The 26,659-nt window shown below is 40.4% G+C and overlaps 1 long non-coding RNA gene and 1 pseudogene across 1 annotated transcript in view, besides 1 other annotated feature; one reads left to right on the top strand and one right to left on the bottom strand.

Annotated features, from left to right (window-relative positions):
- Positions 1 to 26,659, top strand: part of LINC00970 (long intergenic non-protein coding RNA 970) — a 183,101-nt gene that overhangs the window by 10,634 nt on the left and 145,808 nt on the right. Inside the window, exons 2-3 of the long non-coding RNA NR_104091.1 lie at positions 15,853 to 15,960; positions 20,139 to 20,188. This is a non-coding gene — a long non-coding RNA (long intergenic non-protein coding RNA 970). The remainder of the gene's footprint in view (positions 1 to 15,852; positions 15,961 to 20,138; positions 20,189 to 26,659) is intronic.
- On the bottom strand, positions 9,008 to 9,108 carry RNA5SP66 (RNA, 5S ribosomal pseudogene 66; annotated as a pseudogene).
- Positions 23,455 to 23,671: a silencer, noted in NCBI's record as "fragment chr1:169021939-169022155 (GRCh37/hg19 assembly coordinates)". NCBI's record gives its function as "represses an EF-1alpha promoter that drives an FKBP-Casp9 reporter gene in an ReSE screen in both phorbol 12-myristate 13-acetate-treated (for megakaryocytic differentiation) and untreated K562 erythroleukemia cells {active_cell/tissue: K562 | K562(+PMA)}" and the evidence as "EXISTENCE:reporter gene assay evidence [ECO:0000049][PMID:32094911]".

Below are 26,659 nucleotides of genomic sequence, written 5' to 3'. Positions count from 1 at the left end.
AGTTTTCATGTTGATAAATATTAACTTATAATATTTTAATAGCTATAATTTATGCAGACATTCATACACATTTATTTCGCTAATGCAATTGGTAGACATTAAGTTGCTTTCAGTTTTTATCTATTAAAAACAACACCACAATTCAATGTACGTCTTTAAAACTAAATCTTTGTGCATGTCCTTGATTATTTTCTTATGGTAAATTTCTGAAGTGGAATTGCTTGGCCAGAAGCAATACTTACTTTAAAACGCTTGATACCCATCATCAAACTTCCCTGAAGAAAAGTTGTACCCAGAATCTGTGAGTGATTGTCTTTCTCCACATTCCAATAGCCATGTGCATTATCTTTTCACTTTTGAGATACAATTGACAAATTATAAAATTCACTCATTGCAAGTAAACAATTCAATAATTTCTAATAAATGCATACAGTTGTGTAACCATCACCACAATTCAGTTTTAAAGCATGCTCATCTTCCAAATTTCCTTCAGCATTATCTCTTAAAGCTTGTCTTACTGCGATATAATTGAATACAGTAAAATGTCAAATTTTAAGTGGGTTTTGACGAACGCATGTCCAGACACGGGGCATTTCAGTCATCCATGAAAGTTTCCTTGGCTCTTCCCAATCAACGCCTCTCACTCTCCACTCCAGAAGCAGCCACTGATTATTTATATCACTGTAGATTCTAGAATTTCATATAAATGGAACCATATATGCTTTCATTCAATATAATCTTTTTGAGACATCCAAGTTATTCCAGATATCAGGAATTTGTTACCTTTTTATTGCTATTACTGTATTGTATGAATATATAACAGTTCGTTCATCCTGTTGCTGAATATCTGGATTATTTCTAATTTTAGCTATGATGAATAAAGCTGCTATGAACATTCTTGAACAAGGCTTTTTGTAGACATATATATATATATATATTTGATAAATAGCCAGGACTGGAATTGCTGGGTCACAGGGTAGATGTGCATTTTAACTTTTTTTTTTTTTTTTTTTTGAGATGGAGACTTGCTCTGTCACCCAGGCTGGAGTACAGTGGCACGGTTTTGCCTCACTGCGACCTCCACCTCCCATATTCAAGCGATTCTCCTGCCTCAGCTTCCTGAGTAGCTAGGATTACAGGCATGTACCACCATGCCTGGCTAATTTTTTTGTACTTTTATTTAACAGAGACGGGCTTTCACCATGTTGGCCAGGCCTGTAATCCCAGCACTTTGGGAGGCTGAGGTGGGTGGATCACTTGAAGTCAGGAGTTCGAGACCAGCCTGCCCAACATGGTGAAACCCCATCTCTACTAAAAATACAAAAATTAGCCAGGTATGGTGGTGGGCACCTGTAATCCCAACTACTTGGGAAGCTGAGGCAAGAGAATTACTTGAACCTGGGAGGTGGAGGTTGTAGTGAGCTGAGATCATGCCACTGCGCTCCAGCCTGGGCAACAGAGTGAGACCCCATCTAAAAAAAAAATAAAACAAAACAAAATAAAATAAAGCGGTTATACTAATTTCCACATTGGTCAGAGTCCCATTTATTGTACATCCTCTCCAATATACATGTTGTAAATCTTTTTCATTTTAGAAATTCTAGTGGGTATATAGTGGGATTTCATTGTGTGAGGTTTTTTTTTTTTTTTTTTTTTGAGACAGGGTCTTGCTTTGTCGCCCAGGCTGGAGTGCAGTGGTTCAATCTCAGCTCACTGCAACCTCCTCCTCCTGGATTCAAGAAACTCTCAGCCTCCCAAGTAACTGAGATTACAAGTGTGCGCCACCACACCCAGCTCATTTTTTGTATTTTTTGTAGAGGTGGGGTTTCACCATGTTGACCATGCTGGTCTCGAACTCCTGGCCTCAAGTGATTTGCCTGCCTTGGCCTCCCAAAGTGCTGAGATTACAGGTGTGAGCCACTGTACCTGGCCTTCATTGTGGTTTTACATTATCTTCAAAATGGTACTACATTTTTGATTACTTGATTACCAGTGAGGTTGACTAATTTTTATGCATTTATTGGTGATCAGATTTATCTCATTCTCTTCATAAATGGAAATGTCCAAGAAAAGCCACACATGAAATATTTAAAAAGTCAGAAAACACTAGATCTCTTTTAGAATTAGTGTTTAATTTCCAAACTAGTTTTAGATTTCAGGACATGGACCCGTCCTGGCTTTCAGTGTTATCTATGGAAATAATGTTTTCTTCCAAATTTATTGTGCATTCATTAGGGAAAGAACATAAGTTTATCCCCCTTTTTAATTTTTAATTGTTATTATTTAACAAATGAGGCTTAGATAGAGACTCACTTAAGTTATAGAACTAGTTACATAGCCAGTACATTGTATACAAGAGATGCTTTAAAAACTTTTATTGCATAAAGGGATAAATGAATGAATGAGAAATTCAAAGCCTGGGATTCTTTCTGTTGCAACTTCTGTTCTTTTCACTTGTGTTTGGTTTTCTTCCTGTTCTTTCCTTGCTAAGGTTTCAGTAACAAGGTGCTCATGTGGATATTAGGACACTGACTCTTTGTAGTTTGAGTGTCTTTAGATAGAGTACCTGTGGTTGACAGAAACTGGAGGAAGTTAGAGTCTTAATTACCTTCGTTGTCCTTCTCTTCTATGTATTATTATTTATATTTTGCCATTCGTGCCTGTGTGCTTGTGTGTGTGCATGTGTGTGTGTGTGTGCGTGTGTGTTGTAAGTTGCCCTCAAGCCTTTCTGGAAAGGATCACAGAACAAACAAAACTCAATGCACAAAATATAAAAGAGCTAGCCCTGGCCCTAGAGCAGGAACAATCTGGCCGTGGACAAACAAAACACAATGCACAAGAAATAAAAGGGCTAGCCCTGGCCCTAGAGCAGGAACAATCTGGCCGTGGAGACAGATCCACCCACAGGAAAGCTAAGAGCTCCAGTAGATGCAGGGGTAATCCCAGCACTGAGTGATCCATGCCAGCCAGGGCTTTTGGGGAAGGAATATTGGGAGGTGGACCTTAGGAACAACTAGGATTTAAATAACAAATATTGCAGAAAACGAAGACAATGTAGACATGCAAAAGGAAGAAAATTAATGGGGGTATGTAGGAATAAAATAGGTGAAACAGTAGAGGAAAAAACAAACAGGTGAGCAAATGTTTGTGGTAGGAGAGAAGTGCACACTGATCAGGAGACAATAAAGCTGGGGTGGAGTGGATAATGCACATTACAGAGAGAGGCAGGGCCCAGGCAGAGAAGGGGAGTGGCGGGGTATGGTAAAGTAAGACACTTAAAGGCCAGGCTGTGGAACTGGAGCATTCCACATGGATAATTAGGGACCCCTGGGAATTCTTGAGTAGGGGAGCAATAAGATGAAAACCAGTGTGTTAGCACAATTAATTTGGTAATATTTGGCCAGCTGTCTGGAATCTGGGAGAGACTGAAGAGATTGATTCTGTGATAACTTGGTAGAAAACTTTTCTGTTCTACACCCATTGCTCTGCCTTTCTCTGACAAAATTCTATGACAAAAGAATTATATCACCTTCCTAAGATGTTAATCAAGTTTTTCAGGCTGGACATAGTGTCTCATGTTTGTAATCCGAGCACTTTGGGAGGCTTAGGTGGGCAGATCACTTGAGGTCAGAAGTTTGAGACCAGCCTGGGCAACATGGGGAAACCCTGTCTCTACTAAAAATGCAAAAGGAAAAAAGAGTTAGCTGGGTGTGGTGGTGTGTGCCTGTAGTCCCAGCTACTCAGGAAGCTGAGGTGGGAGAATCTCTTGACCCAGGAGGCAAAGGTTGCAGTGAGCTGAGATTGCACGACTGCACTCCCTCCTGGGTGAGAGAATGAGACTCTGTCTCCCAAAAAAAAAAAAAAAAAAAAAAAAAAAAAAAAAAAAAAAACCCAAAATAAAAAAAGATATTAATCAAGTTTAATCAAGTTTTTCAATATTTTCTTCATATTGCTTGTACTTCATTAAGCACAGTTTTCTCCACAGTTTTGTCTTCTTTAAGAAAATATATTATACAAAAGTCAAACTTAATAGGACAAACTAAGCTGTTGTTATTTTCCATTTGAAAGTATATTTTACTTTATGAATGTCTTAAGTAAGGAGTCCAGCTGAGAGTAGCACTGGACCCATTGTAATTTACAATATCTCTCTTTTTTTTTTTTTTTTTTTGAGATGGAGTCTCTCTCTGTGCCAGGCTGGAGTGCAGTGGCAAGATCTTGGCTCACTGCAACCTCCGCCTCCCGGGTTCAAGTGGTTCTCCTGCCTCAGCCTCCTGAGTAGCTGGGACTACAGGTGTGCGCCATCACTCCCAGCTAAGTTTTGTATTCTTAGTAGAGACAGGGTTTCACCATGTTGGCCAGGATGGTCTCGATCTCTTGACCTCGTGATCTGGCCACCTCGGCTTCCCAAAGTGCTGGGATTACAGGTGTGAGCCACAGCACCCGGCCGTAATTTACAATTTCTATAGGGGGCTATTACACATTTACAGAGCACTTGCATGGACATTATCTCAGGTGATTCCAGAGCTTAATGTTACAGATGAAGAAAATTGATATTTTAATTAGTGTATAGGCTGGGTGCAGGCTATAATCCCAGCACTTTGGGAGGCGAAGGTGGGCGGATCACTTGACGCTGGGAATTCAAGACCAGCCTACGCACTCCATCTCTACTCAAAAATACAAAAAAAACCACACACACAAAAAAACATTAGTTGGGTCTGGAGGCGCACAGCTGTGGTCCCAGCTACTCAGGAGGCTGAGGTGGGAGAATCACTTGAACCCGGGAGGTGGAGCCTTCAGTGAGCCAAGGTTGAGCCACTGCACTCCAGCCTGGGTGACAGAGTGAGACTCCATCTCAAAGAAAAAAAAAAAGAAAGTGAATAATGTTGCCTAAGAACATAAAGCTAGAAAGAGGTGACACAAGGACATTGTTTAAAGTAAAGAGTTAAATTTATCAAAATCAAACAGAAATGTTTCTGGAATTATAAAAGAATCTAATAGAAAAACAAGGTTTAATTTTTAAATATTTAAATCCAGATAATCTCTCAGGAATATAGCTTTTGTGGGATGTGAGCTTCCCTAGAGTATTCTTTGAAATCTAATCTTTTTTTCCTGACTCTTTGTTGAGAATTGCTAAAATATCACCACCACCATCACCACCACCACTGCCATCACCACCACCGCCACCAGGAGCAGCACCACCACCATCCCCTTTTTACCCCAGGCTTATTTCAAATCCCACCACTAATATAATACACCAGCATTTATCAAGTGCTTACTGCGTATGAGGCACTGTAGTAAGCACCTTTCCACATCACTTCATTTATTTCCTACAAAGACCCTGTAACGAAGGCATTATTATGATTATCACTTCCATTTTACAAAATGAAAATGAAGGCTTAGCAAGAGAGAGTATGAACCTTGCCCAAGTTCACACAGCCAAGATGTAGAGGAGCCGGGAATCAAATCCAGCTTTGTCTTCCTGAAGAGTCCCAGCTTTTAACCACTGAGAAGTAAGCCTAAGATATTTCTCTGGTTTCATTTCCTGGGAAGGTCCTGGACACTCTGTCAAGAAGCAGGGAGTATCTTGTTTTTCTTGAGTATCTTCATCTCTGGTGAGTGACAGGCTTGGGCAGCTCAGCCAGCAACCAGTCCTCAGGGGAGAGCTGGTATTTCACTCAGCCTGTTTCTCGTGTTTTTTGTCCTCTTTCTTTTGCCAATATAAGTTAGTGCCAATAAAAGATTATTGGCTTGTGAAGAAGATGCCAAAAAAACTGTATAGGAAAATATCCTCAATAATAATACTCTGTGCTTGGCACATGATATCTGAAAATCTTCAAACATAGTGCAGCCTGCAGGTCCCTGAGTCACACACACATCCCAAAAGACGTTTCATGTGCCAGGGGAAGAAGGTGAAACAGAGATGGCCATTCTCAAAATCTTCCCAAGGCAGTAACATGAGGCTGACCAAGAAGTTATCATTCCTGACCTTACCTTAGTAATAGGCTAAGAGATACAGAAGGCAAAGGTTGGTCCCTGGAGACAGTTTGGAAAGTCTTTTGCTCTACCAAACTCTGCCAAAGCCTGAAACTATGCGAGGTGGTGGCAAAGTAATTAAATGCACAGGTTCTAGACTCAGACTTATTGGCTGAAGCTCAAATAACCAAATAATTCTATGCCTCAAATTTCTCATTTGTAAGATGGGCATGATACACTTGAGTGACTGCTTTGTAGAATTATTATGAGGATTGTGAGATAGTTCTAGAGAGATGCTTAGCAAAGTGGCACCTTAGTTCCCAGTCAATGGTAAATGTATGTGTAAAACTTCAGTAGGAGCCAACCTCTTTTAACATAAGGTGTTGGTTACTAAGGAGGAAATCACAGCAATAAGAGAGAGGCATCCTGCCCTTGTGAGGAAAACATATTAATGAGCACCTTGTCTATGGTGGTGGGTGTTTTGGATGGATTGAGTTATGTATTATTGTTACCATTTTATAAGTTAAAGTATGGAAATTCAAGTAGTTTGCTCAAGTTAGGTGGGAAAACCATGATTATAACTTAGTTCTTTCTGAATTTTAAGGATTTCCACTCTATTATGTCTCAGGTACGCATTTTTAGACATAAGGTGTTAAGATGTTTCTATGAGCTAACACCTCAGCGTGACTTAGCTCTGCTTTACTGGTATAAGAAATCTGACTCTACAAAAGTGGAAAACTCAAATGCCCATGGGGTCCAGGGAGGGGAATCTGAGTGGATGTAAGAGAAATAGCAGGGCAAGCTGCATGATAGATAGCAAAGAAACCTGGGCCTAGCTGATAGACAATAGGGAATGGTGAGGACTGGGATTACCTGGCAAATGGGATAACGGGCGCAGGCTTGAGGTACAACTGCTGCTCCTCTCCAGCATGTTTTAGCCATATTTGGAAGTGGGTCAGATCTTGCAATTTTTTTCAGTGAAGGTAGAGATCTAGATTTTTATGTGAAATCACATTAAACTTTTTTAAATTAAACTTTTTTATTTTGAGAAGACTGTAGATTCACATGCAGTTGTAAGAAGTAATACAGAGAGGTGCCTTATACCCTTACCCAGTTTCCCCCAATAGTAAGTTCGACATTGTGATTTACAATAAGAAATATGAATTTGATCTTTCTCTTCCTTTCCTGGCACACAGCTCCTAAAATGCTTGGACTCTCCAAAGTGATGGGTCTTGTTGTATGCTAATAAGATAGCTGATGGCTAGGGGCTGTTGATAGCCTTAGGATGGGAGCTGGGTGCCAGGGGAACTAACCCTGTGATTAGAGGATTGGAACTTTTAGCCCCATCCTCTCAACTTCTGAGGAAAGGAAAGGAGCTGAAGGTTGAGTTTATCACCAGTTGCGAAGGATTTAATTAATCATGTCTTCATAATGAAATTCCATAATACCAAAAAGGACAGAGTTCACAGAATTTCTAGTTTGCTGAATATGTGGGGGTGCCAGGAGGGTGGCATGCCCAGAGAGGGCTTAGAAGCTCCGTGCTCCTTGCCCCATATCCTGCTCTATGCATCTCTTCCATCTGGCTGTTCCTCCATTGTATCCTTTTATAATCACTGGGTGAATGTAAGTAAAGTATCTCCCTGAGTTTTGTGGGCCATTTTAGCAAATGATGGAATCTGCAGGGAGGTTGTGGGAACCTCTGATTTATAATCGGTCAGTCAGAAGCACAGATAAACAGCCTTGGACTAGCAATTGGCATCTGAAATGTGGGCAGTCCTGTAGGACCTAGTCTTTAACTTGTGGAATCTGATGTTATGTCCAGGTAGATCGTGGTCAGAATTGAATTGAATCATAGGACTGGAGAATTGCTTGGTGTGTGGAGAAAACGTACCCCCCACATCTTGATAACCAGAAGTGATAAGTGTTGAGAGTATAGTAGGAGAAAACTGTTTGTTTGTTTGTTTGTTTGTTTGTTTTTTGAGACAGGGTCTTACTCCAGTGCTCAGACTGGAGTGCAGTGGCGTGATCATGGCTCACTGCAGTCTTGATCTCCTGGGCTCAGAAGATTCTCCCACCTCAGCCTCCTGAGTAGCTGGGACTATAGGGATGTGCCACCATGCATGGTTAATTTTTGTTTTTTGAATTTTTTGTAGAGACAGCGTTTTGCCATGTTACTCAGGCTGGTCTCAAACTCCTGGGCTCAAGTAATCCACCCCCCTCGGCCTCCCAAAGTGCTGGGATTACACGTGTGAGCCATTTCTAATTGAATTATTTTGAGCTTTGAAAGTTTTTTAAATGTATTCTAGGTGCTCATCTTTGGTCAGATGTGTGATTTGTAAATTTTTTCTACCATTCTGTAACTTGTCTTTTTATTCCCTTAACAGAGTTTATAGGAAAGCAAATTAAAAAAAATTGTGATGAAGTTAGTTTATTAACTTTTCCTTTTTTTGGCTTTTGTTATCAAGTCTAAAACTTTTCACCAAGTCTTAATTTCTGAAGATTTTCTATGTTTTTAATAGTTTTATAGTTTTACATTTTACATTTAAGTTCATGATCCATTTGAGCAAATTTTTATATAAGGTATGAGACCTAGGCAGAGAGTCATCTTTTTTGCTTACAGATGTTTATTTACTTCAGAATCACTTGTTGAAAGTCTTTCCTCCACTGAATTGCTTTAGCACATTTATCAAAAATATATTGGGCATATTTGAGTGGGTGTCCTGGATTCTCCATTCTGTTTCATTAATATGTGAGTCTATCCTTTTGCCAATTCCATTTATTTAGGTCTTCTTTCATATCTTTTATCAGCATTGTGTAGTTTTCCAAATACAATTCCTATAGATGTTTTCTTAGAGTTTTATCTATTTCATTTTTTGTGCAATTGGAAATGATATTATACTTTTAATTTTAGAGTCCACATGCTTATTGCTAGTGTCTAGAAATACAATTGGTTTTTGCATGTTTATTTTGAATCCTGAGACCTTGCCAAACTCACTCATAGTTCTGACATATTAGTTTTTAGACTTCTTGGGATTTTCTATGACAATCATGTCCTTGACTCCCTTCCAAGTACTAACCAGGCACAACCGTCTTTAGCTTCTGAGATCAGACATTCAGGGTGGTATGGCCATAGACAATCATGTCCTCTTCTAAAAGATATAGTTTTCTTTCTTTCTTTCTTTCTGATTTGCATGTCTTATTTCCTTTTCTTGCCTTATTACGATGGCCAGAATATTTAGTACCATGGTGAATAAGTGTTGTGAGAGTGAACTTCCTGACTTGTTCTTCATCTTGGGGGGAAAGTACTCAGTCTCTCACCATTAGGTACAACATTAGCTACAGTTTTTTTGTAGATGCTTTATCAAGTTGGGGGAGTTACCCTCTATTGCTATTTTCTTTTGAGGTTTTATCATAGCCTGTTAGTATGGTGGATTTCATTGATTAATATTCAAATAATAAACTAGGCAGGCTTGCATCTCTGGAAAAAACTTCACTTGGTCATAGTTTATAATTCCTTTTCATATATTGTTAATTCTATTTGCTAATATTTTGTTAGGGATTTTGGCATCTATATTTCTGAGGGATATTTGTCTACAGCTTTCTTTCTTTCTTTTGTACTGTCTTTGTCTGGTTTTCATGTCTAGGTAAAACTAGGTACATAAAATAAATTGGAAAATGTTCCCTCCTCTTCTATTTTCTGGAAGAGATTGTACAAATTAGTTTTTAGTTCTTTAAATGTTTGATACAATTCTCCAGTGATACCATATGTGCTTGGAAATTTTTTTCTTTTTAAAAAAGTTACTAATTCAATTTTCTTAAGATCTATAGGGCTGTCCAGTCCCTAAAATTCTACAGATAAGAAATAGGCTGATAGAACTATGCAGCTACAAACAAGCACTGCCTTTCATGGAAAAGAAAGGATGAACCCAAGGGTGGAACTGTGAGCTCAGAGGATAGAGCCTTGGGCCACAGAGGCCTTGAAACCTAAAAATTTGCCTAGCTGCATTTCCCAAAAGTCCCAGCAATAACAAGGCCCAAAAGTTATTTGGGACTTGTGACTCCTTTCTTTCATTTTTCCTTTCGAATGGAAATGTTTACAATTGGTATATTATGGCAGTCCCATCATGCCATTATTGTATTTTGAAAACAGATAATTTTTTTTTGTTTTGTTTTTTAGAGATGGGGTCTCACTGTGTAACCTAGGATGGGGTGCAGTGGTGGGATCATATCTCACTGTAGCCTCAAACTCTTGAGCTCAAGAGATCCTTCTGCCATGGCCTCCCAAGGTGTTGAGATTACAGGTATGAGCCTCTGCACCTGGCCCTGTTTTTGTTTTCAGTTTTATAGATCCTAGATGCAGAGGAATTTTACTCCAAGCTGATCATACTCAGAGTCCTACCCATATATATTTAAATGACATAGAAGAAGACATTTGGGGCTTCTAAGCTGGTGAGATTTAGATGAGAATTTGAACTTTGAGTTGATGCTGTAATGGATTGAGACTTTTGGGGATCTTGGGATGCGGTGAATGTATTTTACTTGTGGAACAGACATGAATCTCTGTGAGCAGACTATTGTAGGTAGAAGAATGGCCTCCCAAAGATGTCTACATCCTTACCCTGGAACATAGGAATATGTGACCTTTCATGGAAAAAAGGACTTTATAGGTGTGATTAAATTAAGACTCTTGAGATGGAAAGATTATCCTGGTGAGCCAAATATAATTACAAAGGTCTTTATAAGTGAGTGTGAGGGGCAGGACAGTCTTTGTCAGAGTGATACAATGTGAGAAAACATGACAGGTCATTACTGGCTTTGAAGATGGAAGGAACTCACAAGCCAAGGAAGGTAAGTAGCTTCAGGAAACTAGAAAAGACAAGGGAACAGATTCTTCCCTAGAGCTTCTATAAGATAATACAGCCCTGACTCATCTTGATTTTAGCCCAGCTTCAGAATTCTGACCTCCAGAGCTATAAGATAATAAATTTGTATTGTTTTAACTGACTGTATTTGTGATAATTTGTCACGGGGGCAATAGGAACTAATAGAAGTCCATATATTGAGCTTTCAAATCTTGATTTAAAAGCTAACACCTTTTAGTTCTGGGCTGGACAAAGTGGCTCACACCTGTAATCCAAGCACTTTGGGAGGCCAAGGTGTGGGAAATGGCTTGAGGCCAGGAGTTGGAAACCAGCCTGGTCAACACAGTGAGATTCCCCATCTCTGCAAAAGAAAAAAAATAAAAAAATTATCCAGGCATGGTGGCACATACCTGTGGTCCCAGCTACTCTAGAGGCTGAGGCAGAGGATCATTTGAGCCCAGGAGATCAAGGCTGCAGTAAGCTGTGATCGCACCTCTGCACTCCAGCCTGGTCACCAAAGTGAGATCCTGTCTGAAAACAAAACAAAACAATCTTTTAGTTTTAAATTTTCCACTTGGTTCTTTTTTTTACATCTTCTATTTCCCTGCTGACATTTTACATTTATTTGCTGAGGCAATTTTTCTATTTGTTTCAAGCAGGTTTATAACTGCTTGCTGAAGCATTTTCATCATGGGCTGCTTTAAAATCTCTGTTAGATAAATTTAATATCTCTGTTATCTCAGTGTTGGCACCTATCGTAGGACTTATTTCATTCAGTTTGAGAGCAGCTTCCTGGTTCTTGGGATGATGACTGACTTTTTATTGAAACCTGTACATTTTACATTTATGTTATTAGGCTCTAAATGTTCTGTAAATCTACTCTTTTAGCTGGTCTCCTCTGACACCATTCCAGCAGGGTAAGAGGGGCCTGCCACCTTATAACTTTCAGGTTGAGGTAGAAGTCCAGACTTACCACTTGGCCTTTGTTGACAGGTGGTAAGGGTTCAAAAAACTGCTTATTACTGCTGGTGGGATGGGGACTTCAGTGGTGGGGGCGTCTTTATTACTGCTGGCTAGGAGTGAAAGTTCTTAGACTCTATGAGGCCTCCTCTCACACCTTCCTATTGGAGAATGAGAGATGTGCCTCATTACTGCTGCGTAGTGGTGAAACTCCAGGCTCCCCACGTTGGGGAAGGTTAGAGCTGCCTACTGGTCATAGTAGATGAAAGTCCTGGTTCGTTCCTCGGCTTTCACTGACACCACCCCGGTCAGGTGGTTGGAGTGCCTTGTGATATAGCCTCCTGATGGTGGAAGTTGAAGTTCCGTAGTGGGCTTTGCTGTTATGGGTGAAGTGGGGCCACATTTCCCCCCACCACTCCTCTAGTGTTTGGTTGGAGTAGAGCAGTTATGGTCTGAAAGTTTTCTGTTTTGCTAGGTTGCTTTTTCCCTGTTTTTCCGGCTAGGGATAGCACACTTTTCTTGGCACTATTTTTGTCTTCTCCAGTTGGTGTTTCTGGGTTGTGGGCTTCTTCAGTTCTAAGTCTGGGATGTATGAGTCAAAAAGAAAACCCATGGAACTCACTAATTTGCTGTTTCTCAGGTCCTAAGTCTCTATCTAATCTGGCTTCTTCTCTTTACATTTTGGAGCCATTTATATTTTATAAATAATGTCCAGCATTTTTTGTTGCCCTCAGTGAGAGGAATAGGGAAAAAGTATGTCTATTCCATCTTCCTGGAGGCAAAAATCTCTCTTCATTTTTTAATACTGACAACTAGTAAAAAGAAAATTAACACATTTTGGAAAGGGGCATCAAAGAAAAGAGATCTATAGACCCCATTTGGCCTAAGGGTGACTTTTTGTGATTTCTATGCTAACAGGAGGGCATTGAAGGAATAAGAATCTTTACTTGTGTGTGGTGATGTGGTCAGGAGGTATGGTGGGAAAAAGGAAGGGATAATAGAGAGATAATGTTGGAGCCTGGGGATCCATGCGGCATGGCTTAGAAGTCAGACACTTCTAAAACAGATCACAGCAGGTCTCTTGAGGGAGCACTCCTGGCTTCTGGGAAAACTTTAGTGCTTGAAATGCTGTGTTCAAGTTTGTTGGAGTACTGTGAAACTAAAAAAAAAAATTAACTCAAAAGGAAACTGCTTTTCTGATTATAAAATTAATATGGTTTCCTGTTGGAAAATTAGGAAAACACAAAGAGAAAGAAGGAAATAATACTTAAACCGTTTTTCCAGAGACTACTGTTAATATTTTAGTGTGCTCCTTCCATTCATTTTTTAAGTCTGTCTATCATGTATGTAAATGACACTGTGGCTATTCTTTTTGCATACTTTTAACTACGTTTTTCCACTTTAATTATATCATAAATGTATTCCCCTGGCAATGAATATTTTGGTGAGAGTGTGACTTTTGATAGCTTCATTGTATTCCATTATGTGAAATTTAGCAACAGTTCTACTGTTAAATGTTTTGTTGTTTATGACTTCTCAGTATCATACATAGTGCTGTGATGAGAATGTAAGAAATATTTGGCCACATGTCTCATTAATTTTTAGAACTGGGATTACTTGAGCAAAAGGCATTTAAGGCTTTTGATTTATATAATTGGATTATTCTCCAGAAAGATTACCAATTTACATTCCCATCAGTGGTATGTAAATCCCTGCTACACTGCAGTCTTGCAGGTATTGAGTGTTATCATTTAAAAAAATCTTCACAAATCTGAAGCCAAATAGGTATCATATTATCTAATTTATATTTATTTTACCAGTAATTGCCACTAAAAATTAAATAGCATTTCTCTTTTTGTCTTAATTTTTTTCTGATAACTGCTTTTTGTTATTTGTACATTTTTTTTCCTATTGTGCTTTTCTTCTTGTTTGTTAAATCTGTTACAAGAATGTTTTTCAAGTTTGTCATTGTCTTTTAATTTTGTATGTGATGATTACTTTTGAAATAGAGCAGTTTACAATTTCAAATCTATTATTCTTTCCTTGGATTCCTAATGAACTTTTGTGCTTAGAAGGTCCTTCCCTACCAGTCCAGTTTTATCTGTCACTGCATATCAAGTGACCTCAAAACTTAATAGCTTAAAACAACAGCTGTTTTATTGTATTTTATAATTTTTTTTAGGTCAAGGATTTGGGCAGGGCTCAGCTGGTGGGTTTTCTGCATTATGCATGGTGTTGACAGAAGTCATTCAATGTTAATTAGCTGGTGGATGGGCTGATTTGGAGAGTCCAAGATGGTGTAGTTCATGTGTCTGGAGACTTGGTGAGAATTGCTGGAAGGCTAGGCTCAGCAGAAATGCCCTACAGAGTGCTTGTATGCAGCTCATCCAGTGATCTTGTGGTAGTTAGAACCTTTACATGGCAGCCCAGGGCTCCAAAAGCAAGTGTTCTAGGAAACAAAGAGGAAGCTGTAAGCCCTTTTATGACAAAGCCTTGGACATCAGCTACTCTGTTGGTGAATGCAGTCTCAAGCCTACTCACATTCAAGTGGGTGTCATGGGAGGTATAGCACGGAATCTGTGGTCATATTTTAAAATTGCCACAGCACCTCAAGATAGGTTAAATGTACACTTATATTTTCTTCTTGCTTGTTTATGCCCCTCTCCCTCCTCCTGCCCCTCCTCTTCCTTTTCCTCCTCCTTCTCTTCCTTTTCTTCCTTTATAGAAATGTTAAATCCTTAATCCGTATGGAGATAATTTTATACAGATTTATAATGAGGTTCAAATTTGAATTTTTTCCCTAGTAAACAGTTTCACTGTAATTTTTTTGTTGTTGGATAATCATTTCTTTACTGACAGCTGCTAACTTTTGTAGACACTAGGGACCGTGTGAATGTTCTTTTAACGGAGAAAAAAAATACCCTTCATGCTTTATGTTTCATTTTCTAGCACTTGTCTCCCTAGTCCAGCTTTCAGTCTGAGAAGAAACCAAAGCACACTGCTGATGCTGGGCTGGTCAGTGTGTGTCTGGGTGGTTTGGTTTCTCCAGGTTGCTTGCTTTCCAGATGGACTTTCTTGGCTAGAAGAGCTCTGAGACACGGGGCCTGATTGTTGACCTCATTTAGAGGGGCTCTTACTTTTCAATCTACTCAAAATAGCAGGCTCTAGTACTTTTGAGAGTTCTGTCCCTTGGACTATTGCCCTGGGATGTGTCTGAGGTAGTTTTGTTGTTATGATTTTAAGTGTGATAGTTCCTGGGGGAGATTATTTCTGAGATGAAGTAACTTGACTGTTTCTAGTGCGGAGAGTATTAACTCATTTCATTAACATACTAAACTAAAAGAGAGGAGAAACTTCCATACCACAGGAAGGTTTCCCTACAACCTCCCCCTCTATCTCAAGATCTTATCTAACCCTGGCTCCACTCAACATTCCTCCACTCCGGAAGGACCTTCTGACCTGGCCCAGCTTCCTCACCCACATCTCGACTTCCTCCTTTCTACTTCTATTATCACCAAGAAGTGCAGAGCTCAGCCCTGTGTCAGAGCTCTTGAAATGCTAAATCTTGCTTGGTCATTTGTTTTATTAATAACTACCAACCCTATTGCTGTTGTTGCTGCTGCTATTCACTTGCCTATATACCCTATAATCTGCTAGTTTTACTATAATATCTTATTTAATTCCACCCAACAGTTTGTTGAGATAGCTACTAGTCTTCTCATTTTTTAAAATGAGTGGATGGTGGTTTAGAGATGTTGAAAAATGTGTTCAAGCTGTGTAGTTAGTAAATAAATGGTGGAGCAGGACTTTTAAGTTTGGTAGTCTGCTAATTTTTAGACACTGTGTTTCTTCCTCCCTTCTCTCATAGTAATCCCCAGTTCCTAACTATAGGTGGGTATTTCCACTTCTCTTCCCTGGAAAAGGGCCACACGCTGCTGATATTGTGGGTCACAGGGAGAGACATCTACTTGAGGACATACAATCCCTGTCTGGCAGGGACCCATATTTGAAACTCAGTCCTCCTGAAGGTTCACTTACCTGATCCCTCTGCTTCCAGCCAGCTCTTGCTGATGGTGAGGAGCCTCATTATCTTAAGACAACACACAGTGGAGATGTGCTTTACGTAATTGGCCTGCCCTGTGAAAACCCCTGGCTGTTTTTTCAGGTGAGTTTTCTTATAACTTAACTGCAGCTCCGTGACTTACTGCTTCTTTTCCAGGCTCTTCTAGGGAAAATTTGCGTCTGTGGCCTTAGTCCAGAACACACCCTAGTCTTCTCTGGAGGGAAACACAGTCAGGGAAGGAAGAGATTTTGTAATGTGGACAGTGTTCGGTGTTCATCGCTGAGGAATCTGAGTGTCAGTTTGCATTCATCATGGGCGGAGGGCCCCACAGCTGGCGGAAGGCCAGCTGCAGTGTAAAGGTAGGACTAAATGGAGAGGACTTCCTGGGGTGGAGGAGGTAGAGAAATCAAAGGACGCTCCCTGAGGTTATGCCCTCTTGCTCCCTGTGTTCATTTTCTGGAGCTGCCATAACAAAATACACAGCCTGGTTGGCTTAAACAACAGGAATTTATGGTCTTACAGTATTGCAGGCTGGAAGTCCAAGATCCAGGTGTCTTCAGGTTTGGTTTCTCCTGAGGCGTCTCTTCTTGACTTGCAGATCATTGCCTTCTTGCTATGTCCTCAGATGGTCTCTCCTTTGTGTGCCCCTGGTATCTCTTTTTGTGTCCAAATTTCCTCTTCTTATAAGGACAATAGTCAAAATGGATTAGGGCCCACCCTAATGACCTAATTTTAACTCAATCACCTTTTAAAGGACCCGAGCTCCAAATACAGCCACATTCTGAGGTCCCAGTGGTTAGATCATCAGCAGGTGACTCTTAGAGGGAACATAATTCAGCCCAAATGACTCCCTTTTGGCCATTCTGAGAATACTAAGCAGTGGAGACCTGAGCTTTTAGCACCTCTGGTCCTGCCAGACCTCAGAGAGCATGAATGGGAGAGAGAATGGCCAGCCTAAGGTTAAGTAAATGAATAATGAGTCACAAGTGTAGAAACAATTTGATCATCAAATTTTGTGTTTAATATAAATCTTGGTGAGGGAAACTTATTGGCATGTCTTCAGGGTCAAACAGTTCTCCTACCTATTTTTCTATTTCTTTCACAAGGAATTAGATGTTTTCAAGTTAAAAAAAAAAAAGAAAAAGAAAAAACTAAATCTTTATAAAACCTTAGCAGAGTCTCCAGGGAAGTTGTGAATTGTGTGTTTTGGTCCATAAAAAAAAAATACTCTATTCTCCAGAGGAAGGCATTGGTCAATTTTGTAACAGAGATTGAAACTGAGGCCAAATGTTACCATTTCACTCTTGATATTTATCTGGATTAGGATGTGTACAAACCTTGTGACCTAGCATTACAAGAAGATTTTGTTTGCTTTGCATTAGTGAGCCTACTTGGACATTTGCTATACTAGAAGATTTTGGTAGTGCTTTGCTTCTATTGCAGCCTATATGGGTAATGATTGTAAAATCATCTTGAGCTAATGCTCCTGAAAAGGCTTTATCTCTGAAACCAGATTGTAGCTCTGAGTAAGAAGGGTCCTTGTCTTACATTGGCTTGATTCTCCTAAGCATAAAATTGGAGTAATTTTACTCATTACCTACTACTTAGAGGTCCAACCTTCTCTGTTGCAGACACTGTTGGTTGCCCACCAGGGAGTTATTTCCCCCTTTTTACCTTGCTATCAAAACCGTGATTTTAGTAACCCTCCTCTGAGGGGTCATGTTCTTTTTAAGAATTTAGTCTCTACCCAACCATAGAAGGTAAATCTTCATTGGTTTAGGCCAATTTATGGTGGTCTTTCCTTGTCTGGTGATTGTTTAATTAGGGATAGACTATGCTGATTCTTGACAAGGAAAGATAAGGGGACATCTTGTAGAGGGACACAAGATTGGGACATTCTCTTTTTCTGCCTCTGAAGATTGTTGATAGCATGTGAGACCTGACTCACAGCAGATCTTGAGACTGTGGAGGAAAACTGCAGAATAGCTGAGCTAGATCCATACTGTGTCTGTGTCAGTGAATTAATCCACCTTGAAATTGCTCTACCTCCACACTTCATGTTATACACAATAATAAATGTCCTTATTGTTTAAGCTACTCTTGGTTAGATCTTCTATCATTTGCTACCCAAATTATCTTCCACAGACTTTGGAAAGTTGCTGTTGCCTGGGAAGCTGAGTGTCTTGGTCCATTTTGTGTTGCTGTAAAGGAATATCAGAAACTAGGTAGTTTATAAAGAAAAAAGGTTTATTTGGATCACAATTCTGATGGCTATAGAGCTCAAGATTGGGCATTTGCATCTAGTGAGGGCCCCAGGGGGCTTCCACTCATGGTGGAAAATGAAAGGGAGGCAGCACGTGCAGAAATCACATGGTGAGAGAGGAAGCAAAAGAAAGGTTGGTGGTGCCAGGCTCTTTTTAACAACCAGCTCTCATGGGAACAAATAGAGTGAGAACTCACTCGCCTCCTAAGGAGGGCATTGCTCTATTCATGAGGGATCCACCCCCATGACCAAAACACCTTCCATTAGGCTCCACTTCTAATACTGATGTTCAAATTTTAATGTGATGTTTGGAAGCAACAAACATCCAAACCATAGCACCAAGTCAAAATACTTCCTTTCTCACATATGAAAAAAGAAAGAAGGCAGCCATGTTTGACTAGCAGTTCTGGCTGGTCTGTCTCCTGAAGAAGCTTCTCTGCTAATATTCTTCAAAAACATGCTACTGATGAGAAAACTATTTCCTAAGATTGAGCTGATTCAAAAAGAGAATACATTCAATAGGTAGCAAAGAAAGATCTCTTCCCATGTGACAGGAGATGGGATTCATTGCTGATGATTTTCTGGATACCAAGAAGAGATTCAAGCCAGGTAGGCATTAGTTGATTGCAGCAATTTTTGCACAAACATGATGTCAAAGTGTGACACTCATCTTGCCAACTTGAGATTGAGGTAAAGATCTAGGTGTCAGGCCTCTGAGCCCAAGCTAAGGCATCATATCCCCTGTGACGTGCACGTATGCATCCAGATGGACTGAAGCAACTGAAGATCCACAAAAGAAGTGGAAATAGCCTTAACTGATGACATTCCACCATTGTGATTTGTTTCTGCCCACCCTAACTGATCAATGTACTTTGTAATCTCCCCCATCCTTAAGAAGATTCTTTGTAATTCTCCCCACTCTTGAGAATGTACTTTGAGATGGACCACCCTGTCTGCAAAACATTGCTCCTAACTCCACCGCCCATCCCAAAACCTATAAGAACTAATGATAATCCCACAACCCTTTGCTGACTCTCTTTTCAGACTCAGCCCCCACTGCACCCAGGTGAAATAAACAGCCTTGTTGCTCTTCACATGGATGCGTGTGACACTAGCCAGGGATGGAGAGTGTGTAATACTGAGAGTAGGGTGAGAAATGAGCACTGTACCCAGGTGTAGGGGCATGCTGGCAAGCACACATCTGACACTAGGGAGCAATGAGAGCTGCCTCTGTTGGGATTTCAAACACGAATAAATTCATTAATTGGACTGACAGTCATTGGGTGCATACAGTATGTCAGGCAAGATGCTTGAGAAAGAAGGAAACATGGTCTTTGCCCACAAGGAACATACAGTCTACTGTACAGTCCAGCCTTTAGGCAATCCCTCCCCAACCCCACCACTGTATGTCAGTCCCAATTTGGCACCTTGATGCTTTAGACATCTCCTCCCACTGCTAAGTTATAGTATTATTGGAGTTAAAATGCATGTATGCCAGCTGCTGTTACACATATTCTATATGATAGAATCCTTGTTATCAGGATTCAGAATTGTAGTCAGTTTAAGGCTGTGAAGAGTTACTAAGCACCTACTATGAGCCAGTTGGTGTAAGACACACAAAGGTGAATGAGCTATCCTGTACTTCTAGGAAACAATAGCTCAGTTGGAGTTATATGATTTGCATGCTAAAAGTCAGAGAAAGCAACTAGGTGACAAGCAGCATATGAATGGAGCAGACAATAAATGTCAGAGGAGTTTAATTCAATTCAACTTATATATGTTGAGCCCTTCAGTCTGTCAAGTGTGAATCAGGCCCCTAAGACATAGGAATGGATGAATTCAATTCTTTCCCTTCTAGGAGCTCACTGTGAAAAAATGATACAATACTACTAGTTGTAATCAGCTAACATTTATTAAGGATTAATTATTATTAAACACATCTATATGCTTTCTATATAATAGCTCACTTAGTAATTAATCCTGTGAGGTAGATGCTAATATTATCTCTATTTTACAGATAAGGAGACTGAAGCATCTAGAGTTGGAGTAATTTCCACAAGATCACAGGTTAGTATGAAAGGTAAGAGATTAATGAAGCATTTATTCATCAATCTTACCTGTAATAGGTCTAGATATGGAAGAGCTAGGATCTTTAGGCAGAAGATCTGTGATAACAATGAATTGCTAGCCTACTATGGGACAGTGATATGGAGCAGGGAGTGGGTTAAGTTGCGTGAATATTCCCTCAGCACTGCTAGAAGCCACAGAGCCCAGTGATATCACTGCCAGACAACTGTGCAGTAGCTAAAACCATCAAGAATAGGAATCTGAGCTTGAGGCCAGCCTGGGCAACATGCCTAGAAGCCCATTTCAAAGAAAAAAAGGTAGCCGGGTATGGTGGTGAGCAACTGCAGACCCAGCTACTCGGGAGGCTGAGGTGGGTGGATGACTTGAGCCCAGGAGTTCGAGACTGCAGTGAGCTCTGACGACATCACCGAACTCCAGCCTGGGTGACCGAGCAGACCCGGTCTCAAATTTAAAAATAAGGAAAGAGAAAGAAAGAAAGAGAGAGAGAGAGAGAGAGAGAGAGAGACCCGGTCTCAAATTTAAAAATAAGGAAAGAGAAAGAAAGAAAGAGAGAGAGAGAGAGAGAGAGAGAGAAAGAAAGAAAGAAAGAAAGAGAGAGAGAGAGAGAGAGAGAGAGAAAGAAAGAAAGAAAGAAAGAAAGAAAGAAAGAAAGAAAGAAAGAAAGAAAGAAAGAAAGAAAGAAAATAGGAATCTTAGAGGGAAAGTAAATTGTGGTAGGGTGGCAGCTTTCTTCTGTCCCACGTGCTGAGCTGAGGTTTATTTGGGACATTTGGTAGTGGAACACCTTGTGTTAGGATTCCATTGAAAGTTAGTGAATACTACCATGTTAGAATTCCATGGAAAGTTAAAATCAGACTAGGAGGCCAATCTCCCCAGTCATGCTATCTAAAAAAGGTCATCATCAGCAACACCCACTGAATGCCAGAGGGGGCTCCTTGGTACCCTGCTTTGGGCTCAGATAGACTGAGGAGTATGGGAAGGCAGTTTCTGGTCTGCATCATATTTTCCTCCTGAGGGACCCAGGAACTCTCTTCTGCTAGGCAAATCCTAAGTAATCTTTTCAAAATGATACAACCCATGATAAGTCTTACCCTGGGATGGCATATGACCTACATTTGATAGGGGTTATAATCTTTCACCTACAAAGCTATGGACAGCTCCAAAATGAGTAGTTCCTTTATATTGTAAAGATAGATTTCTATTCCCTGCAACTGAGTTCTTGAATTCACTGTGACCTCCAACCTGCATTCTACACATTTTTCTTCATTCTTGGTATATTTCATACCTTATCCTGTAGGTAGGAGCCAATTAACTACCCAACTACCTTCCCACCACCCCCACCAAACCAATTTATCTATATTCCCCGGAAGAATCTTCTGAATAGAAGACAATGCTCCTCAGTCTCCAGGAAGAATCTAAAATGGTCAAATAGGAAAGAAAGTCAGAGAGCAAAAGATAAATCTCTCTAAAAGCCTTTGATCATTCATTCATTAAAAAAATATTTATTAACTACTACTCAGGAGGCTGAGGCATGAGAATTGCTTGAACCTGGGAGGCGGAGGTTGCAGTGAGCCGAGATTGTGCCTGGACGGTGGAGTGAGATGCTGTCTCAAAAAAACACAAAATGTTTATTCAGGTCCTACTTGGTCCTACTTGGTGCTATGCTCTGTGATAGACACTAGAGATGCCGTCATGAACAAGATAAACATCTCTGCTCTCAGGAGTTCATAGTCTGAAAAAGACAGAGAAGGTGACAAAATATTCAATTATAAATTTGAATAAGTGCTTCAAAGGATAAAAACTGGATAATAAGAGGCAAAGCATGGAGGGGCAAACCTACTGTACTTTTGCAGTCAAGGAAGGAGGTCACATTAAAACAAGACCTGAGGATCAAGGAATCAGTTGTGAAAAATCTAGGAGAGGTATACACTGTACTTTGAGATACGGTGGTAAGAAGAGACTTGAGTGTTCAAAGAATTAAAAGACAGGGCATATGGCTGGAATATTGAGGGGAAGGAGAGAATTAGAAAAGGAGATTGGGTCTGGGTGTGGTGGCTCACACCTGTAATCCCAGCACCCTGGGAAGCTGAGGCAGGAAGATCCCTTGAGTCCAGGAGTTCGAGACCAGCTTGGGCATCATATTGAGACCCCATTTCTACAAAAAATACAAAAATTAGCTGGCCGTGGTAGCACATGCCTGTAGTCTCAGCTACTTGGGAGGCTGAGATGAGGTGGGAGGACTGCTTTAGCTTGGGAAGTTGAGGTTGCAGTGAGTTATGATCTTGCTGCTGCACTCCAGCCTGGGTGACAGAGTGAGACCCTGTAACAAAAAAAATAAGTAAATAAATAAAAAGAAAAAGAAAGAAAGAAAAGAAAATGAGATTGGAGAGGTTGGAGAGGTTGGCAGGGGCTGTGGAAAGGATTTGGACTTTGGATTTTATTCCAAATGCGGTGGGAAGTCAACCTCGCAATGGCAGCTCCCCTACCCTGCTTCCATTTACTAAAAACTATGTAATTTCATTTCTAGAGTGCAGGAAAGAATGCTTGCATGCAGAGTGATAAGGGAGGAATATTTGATTTCCTATGATGTCACCAGGCTTTTGAAAGAAGTGTGCCTGACTGTAAACGATGCTATGTCAAGTATGTGATTTACAATATCAGGATTAGCACTATTAATATAATAAATTGCCCTTCAAAAGAGAACTTGATGAACCAATGTTTCAAAAGGAAGTTCTGATTGAAGTAATTGTGAAACCTTCAGATTTGACTCAGTTTCCCACCCAGCTTCCTCAGTGATATAACCAAAGTGACACACGGTCAAAATAAGTACATCTTTATTGAGTATGTATTCCATGCCTAACACTGTGATAGATGTGGTGGCTTCAAAGACGTGTGGATGGCCTCTGCCCTCAAGGACTTTAAAATATAGTAGGGATGGTAGAAAGAGTACACCAGCACAATCACTCGAAATGCATATAACCTCCGCTTTGGATTTCTAATTGGCACATCACACCCAGAATTCAATCTGATCAAGGGATTAGGATTGGAAGGATAACTTAGGAGTCATTAATGAGGGTTGGCCAAGCAAAGAGGTGAGCAAGAATGATGACATTCTGCTTACACAGTGTTATTTCTTCCCACAGGATTATTCTAGGCACCTGAATAGAACAGCCAGCCAGGATGGCTTGTTCCTGCTCTCCTATGCTTCTATCATTGGCAGTAAACTTGTGCAAACACTGGGATCCCTGGATACCATGGTAATTTCCCAGACTTTGAAATTACCGTGGGTGGGGCCTGTCCCCATGTCATACTTCCCCTTTTTGATACAAAGCATGGAATAGGAAGGAAAACAGGGTTCCACAGAACTTATGTAGAGAAATCCTAGGTTCTCAGGCTTAAATGCCTCTGAGATTGCAGGCTGGCATGGCAGAATTCAGAGTCTGAGCCTTTCATCTTGAGCTGTAGCAGGACCACCCGCAGACAAAACTCCTCAGACACCGAGTTAAAGAAGGAAGGGGTTTATTTGGCCGGGGCATCGGCAAGACTCCTGTCTCAAGAGCTGAGCTTCCCGAGTGAGCAATTCCTGTCCCTTTTAAGGGCTCACAACTCTAAGGGGGTGCGCGTGAGAGGGTCATGATTGATTGAGCAAGCAGGGGGTACATGACTGGGGGCTGCAGGCACCGATAATTAGATCGAAACAAAACAGGACAGGGATTTTCACAGTGCTTTTCTATACAATGTCTGTAATCTATAGATAGCATAACTGATTAGGTCAGGGGTCAATCTTTAACTACCAGGCCCAGGGTGTGGTGCCAGGCTGTCTGCTTGTGGATTTCATTTCTGCCTTTTAGTTTTCACTTTTTCTTTCTTTGGAGGCAGAAATTGGGCATAAGACAATATGAGGGGTGGTTTCCTCCCTTAGAGCTAGACGTTCAATTTCATTCTATTGGAATGAACAGGTTGGACTTTATGAATGCCAGCCAATAATGTCCCATTCCACCTAGTTGACCCCATTTCTCCTGGAAGTAAGGGTCTCAAACTCCTTTTGGTGGAGTCAGAAAGGTCTGTCAGAAAGATCTCAACTATCTTGTTAGAGATTATATAGGGTACAGTCATGTCTTTAGTTAAAGAAAAGTCTAGTGGTGTGTTCCTAGATATAGCTGTGCCAAAAATCCTTCCCCAGCCTCTGCCATGCACAATAGATTTTCATTTTTCTCTGGTTTTGTTTTCACTAGAATGGGCACTGGAATTGTTGGTATTGTAGGTAATGGCAGCATCTGGGAGTGGAATTGATGAACTGGGAGAAGGCCCCTGTTTTATTCACCCATGATTCAGTTTTTTGTTCCACAGACATTGGATGGGGTGGTTATTATGTGACAAGACATTGTCACAGACACAGGCCTTACAGCTTTTTGGAGTCAACACAGCCATTACAGAAAACAGGCTGATTACCTCAAGTGCTGTCTTAGATCAGCCCTCTTAAATGACTTCATCCTTCCTGGGGTTCAAGCCTTGGGTCAGAGTGTTGAGTTGTATTTCTAACCACTCAGCTACTGGCATGTTAAAAATACCACCCAGAAGAGGGTGTTTTCTTTGGTTTATATTTGGAGTTACTGTTATTTCGTGGTGTCCCTTCCAAAATTCACTTTGAAATTTAATCCCCAATACAATAATATTAAGAGGTATGGGCTTTGGGAAGTTATTGTCACAAGGGCTCTGCCCTCATGAATGCAATTAGCACCTTTAAGAGAGGGCCAAAGGTTGAAAGGTGCATGCTCATACCCTTCGGCCATGTGAGGACACAGTGTTCCTCCCCACTGGAGTTTGTAGCAACAAGGCACCATCTTGGGAGCAGAGAGCAGCCCTCACCAGTCACTAATGCTGCTGTGTCTTGATCCTGGACTTCTCAGCTTCCAGAACCAAGATAAATAAATTTGTATTGTTTATACATTACCCAACCTGTAGTATTTTGTTACAGCAGCTCAAATAAACCAAGACAGAATCCTCCTTTATCCCTTAGTGGGCTTCTTGTTATCCCAGGCATTGTGACATCTCTCCTTCAGGCTTCCTCCTCCAATATAACTTATCCAAAGGGTTCAGACCCTGAGATGGCTCATTCCTTCTTAGTCACAAAGGAGAAAACTCAGGAGATGTTTGTCAACAAAGAGTTGAAGGCAGCTTGTTGTGATCCAAGGCAGATGATTATTTAGAGAGGTAAGACCTCTAAACTTGGGTTTCTTCACCTACTAGTTGCATGACGCTGAACAAGTTAATCACTGTAAATGAAAATTTTATCATCAATACAACTAATTTAGTGTCTATATCCTAAGCTGTTGAAGAGAATCAAATGAAGTCAGATACACAAAAGATCTGGGTAAGCTACAAAGTATTACGTAGATGCGAATCAGTCCAGTTAGTCATACTGCCAAGGTAAGTGACAGATGTTAAGAGTGCCTGGCTCAATTCAACTCCCACCACTCCCTCTGTGGAGTTACAGGGTCTAAAGATCCATGGTTTCTCATTTTATCCATTTGATGCTGTAAGCATAGGGTCTAGGGTTTATATCTTTTCAAGGGCCTGTTAAAATATTTGCGACATGTGAGACATGGTGAAAATGTAAACACAAAACATACAGAAAACTGCAATATAAAAAAAGAAATGAATGTTTAAGTTAATGTCTATGAAACATTTATTTTCAATTAGAAAAGAAATTGAACAGAACTCTTATTCTGTTGTATATCAATTATTTTAAATGTGCGATATGTCTGTATCTTAATATGCTTGATATAATAAAAAGTAGGACTTCTGAAAGGAAGTTTTTAGAGCCTGTGAGATATTTGGGCAGCTTTGTCTAGATCTATGGAGAATGTGAAGCAAGAACAAAGGCCTTTTCTTTTTTTGTAGTTAAACTCACGTTTGTCTGTTAGGATCTAGTATCATATTTATTTTTAACTGGATCATTAAATGCTCTTTTCACTTCTTTCCTTCCTTTGGTGTCTTGCACCTTATCCACTTCAGCTAAAGAAGATGAACTAGCTCCTTCTATTCAACTCCTACATTAGATATGCCCACTTTCTGTAGGTTTTGGGAATGTTTATATTTCAGGAAGGTCACCCCAATTCCCTTCCCCACATCTGCCTCTCAGCTTCGTTTCCTATTCTTGTGGTCTGCTATATGGGACTCTTGTTACTTGAAGGTATTTGTAGAGTTGTAAGAAGGCTTTTTGGCCAGGTGGGCCCAAGCTGGAGCTAAGAGGCTTTGTGAAAACAGATGAACACCACATGGCTTTCCCTTCTTGCCTCTGCCACTCTGCTGCCTGACCATGGGCAAGCCCTTTCCTGTCTGCTCTTCCAGGAGCTTCTCTGTGTAATGAGATGCATAGCATTCAGGAGAGTGGATGAGCACTAAGACCTAGCCTTTACGTTCTGTTCTTCTGATTACACTTTCCAG

The sequence above is a fragment of the Homo sapiens genome, chromosome 1 (genome assembly GCF_000001405.40).
Source record: "Homo sapiens chromosome 1, GRCh38.p14 Primary Assembly".
Classification (NCBI taxonomy): Eukaryota; Metazoa; Chordata; class Mammalia; order Primates; family Hominidae; genus Homo; species Homo sapiens.
Note: the sequence above shows the minus strand (reverse complement) of the source record. Positions and strands in the feature narration are given on the sequence as shown.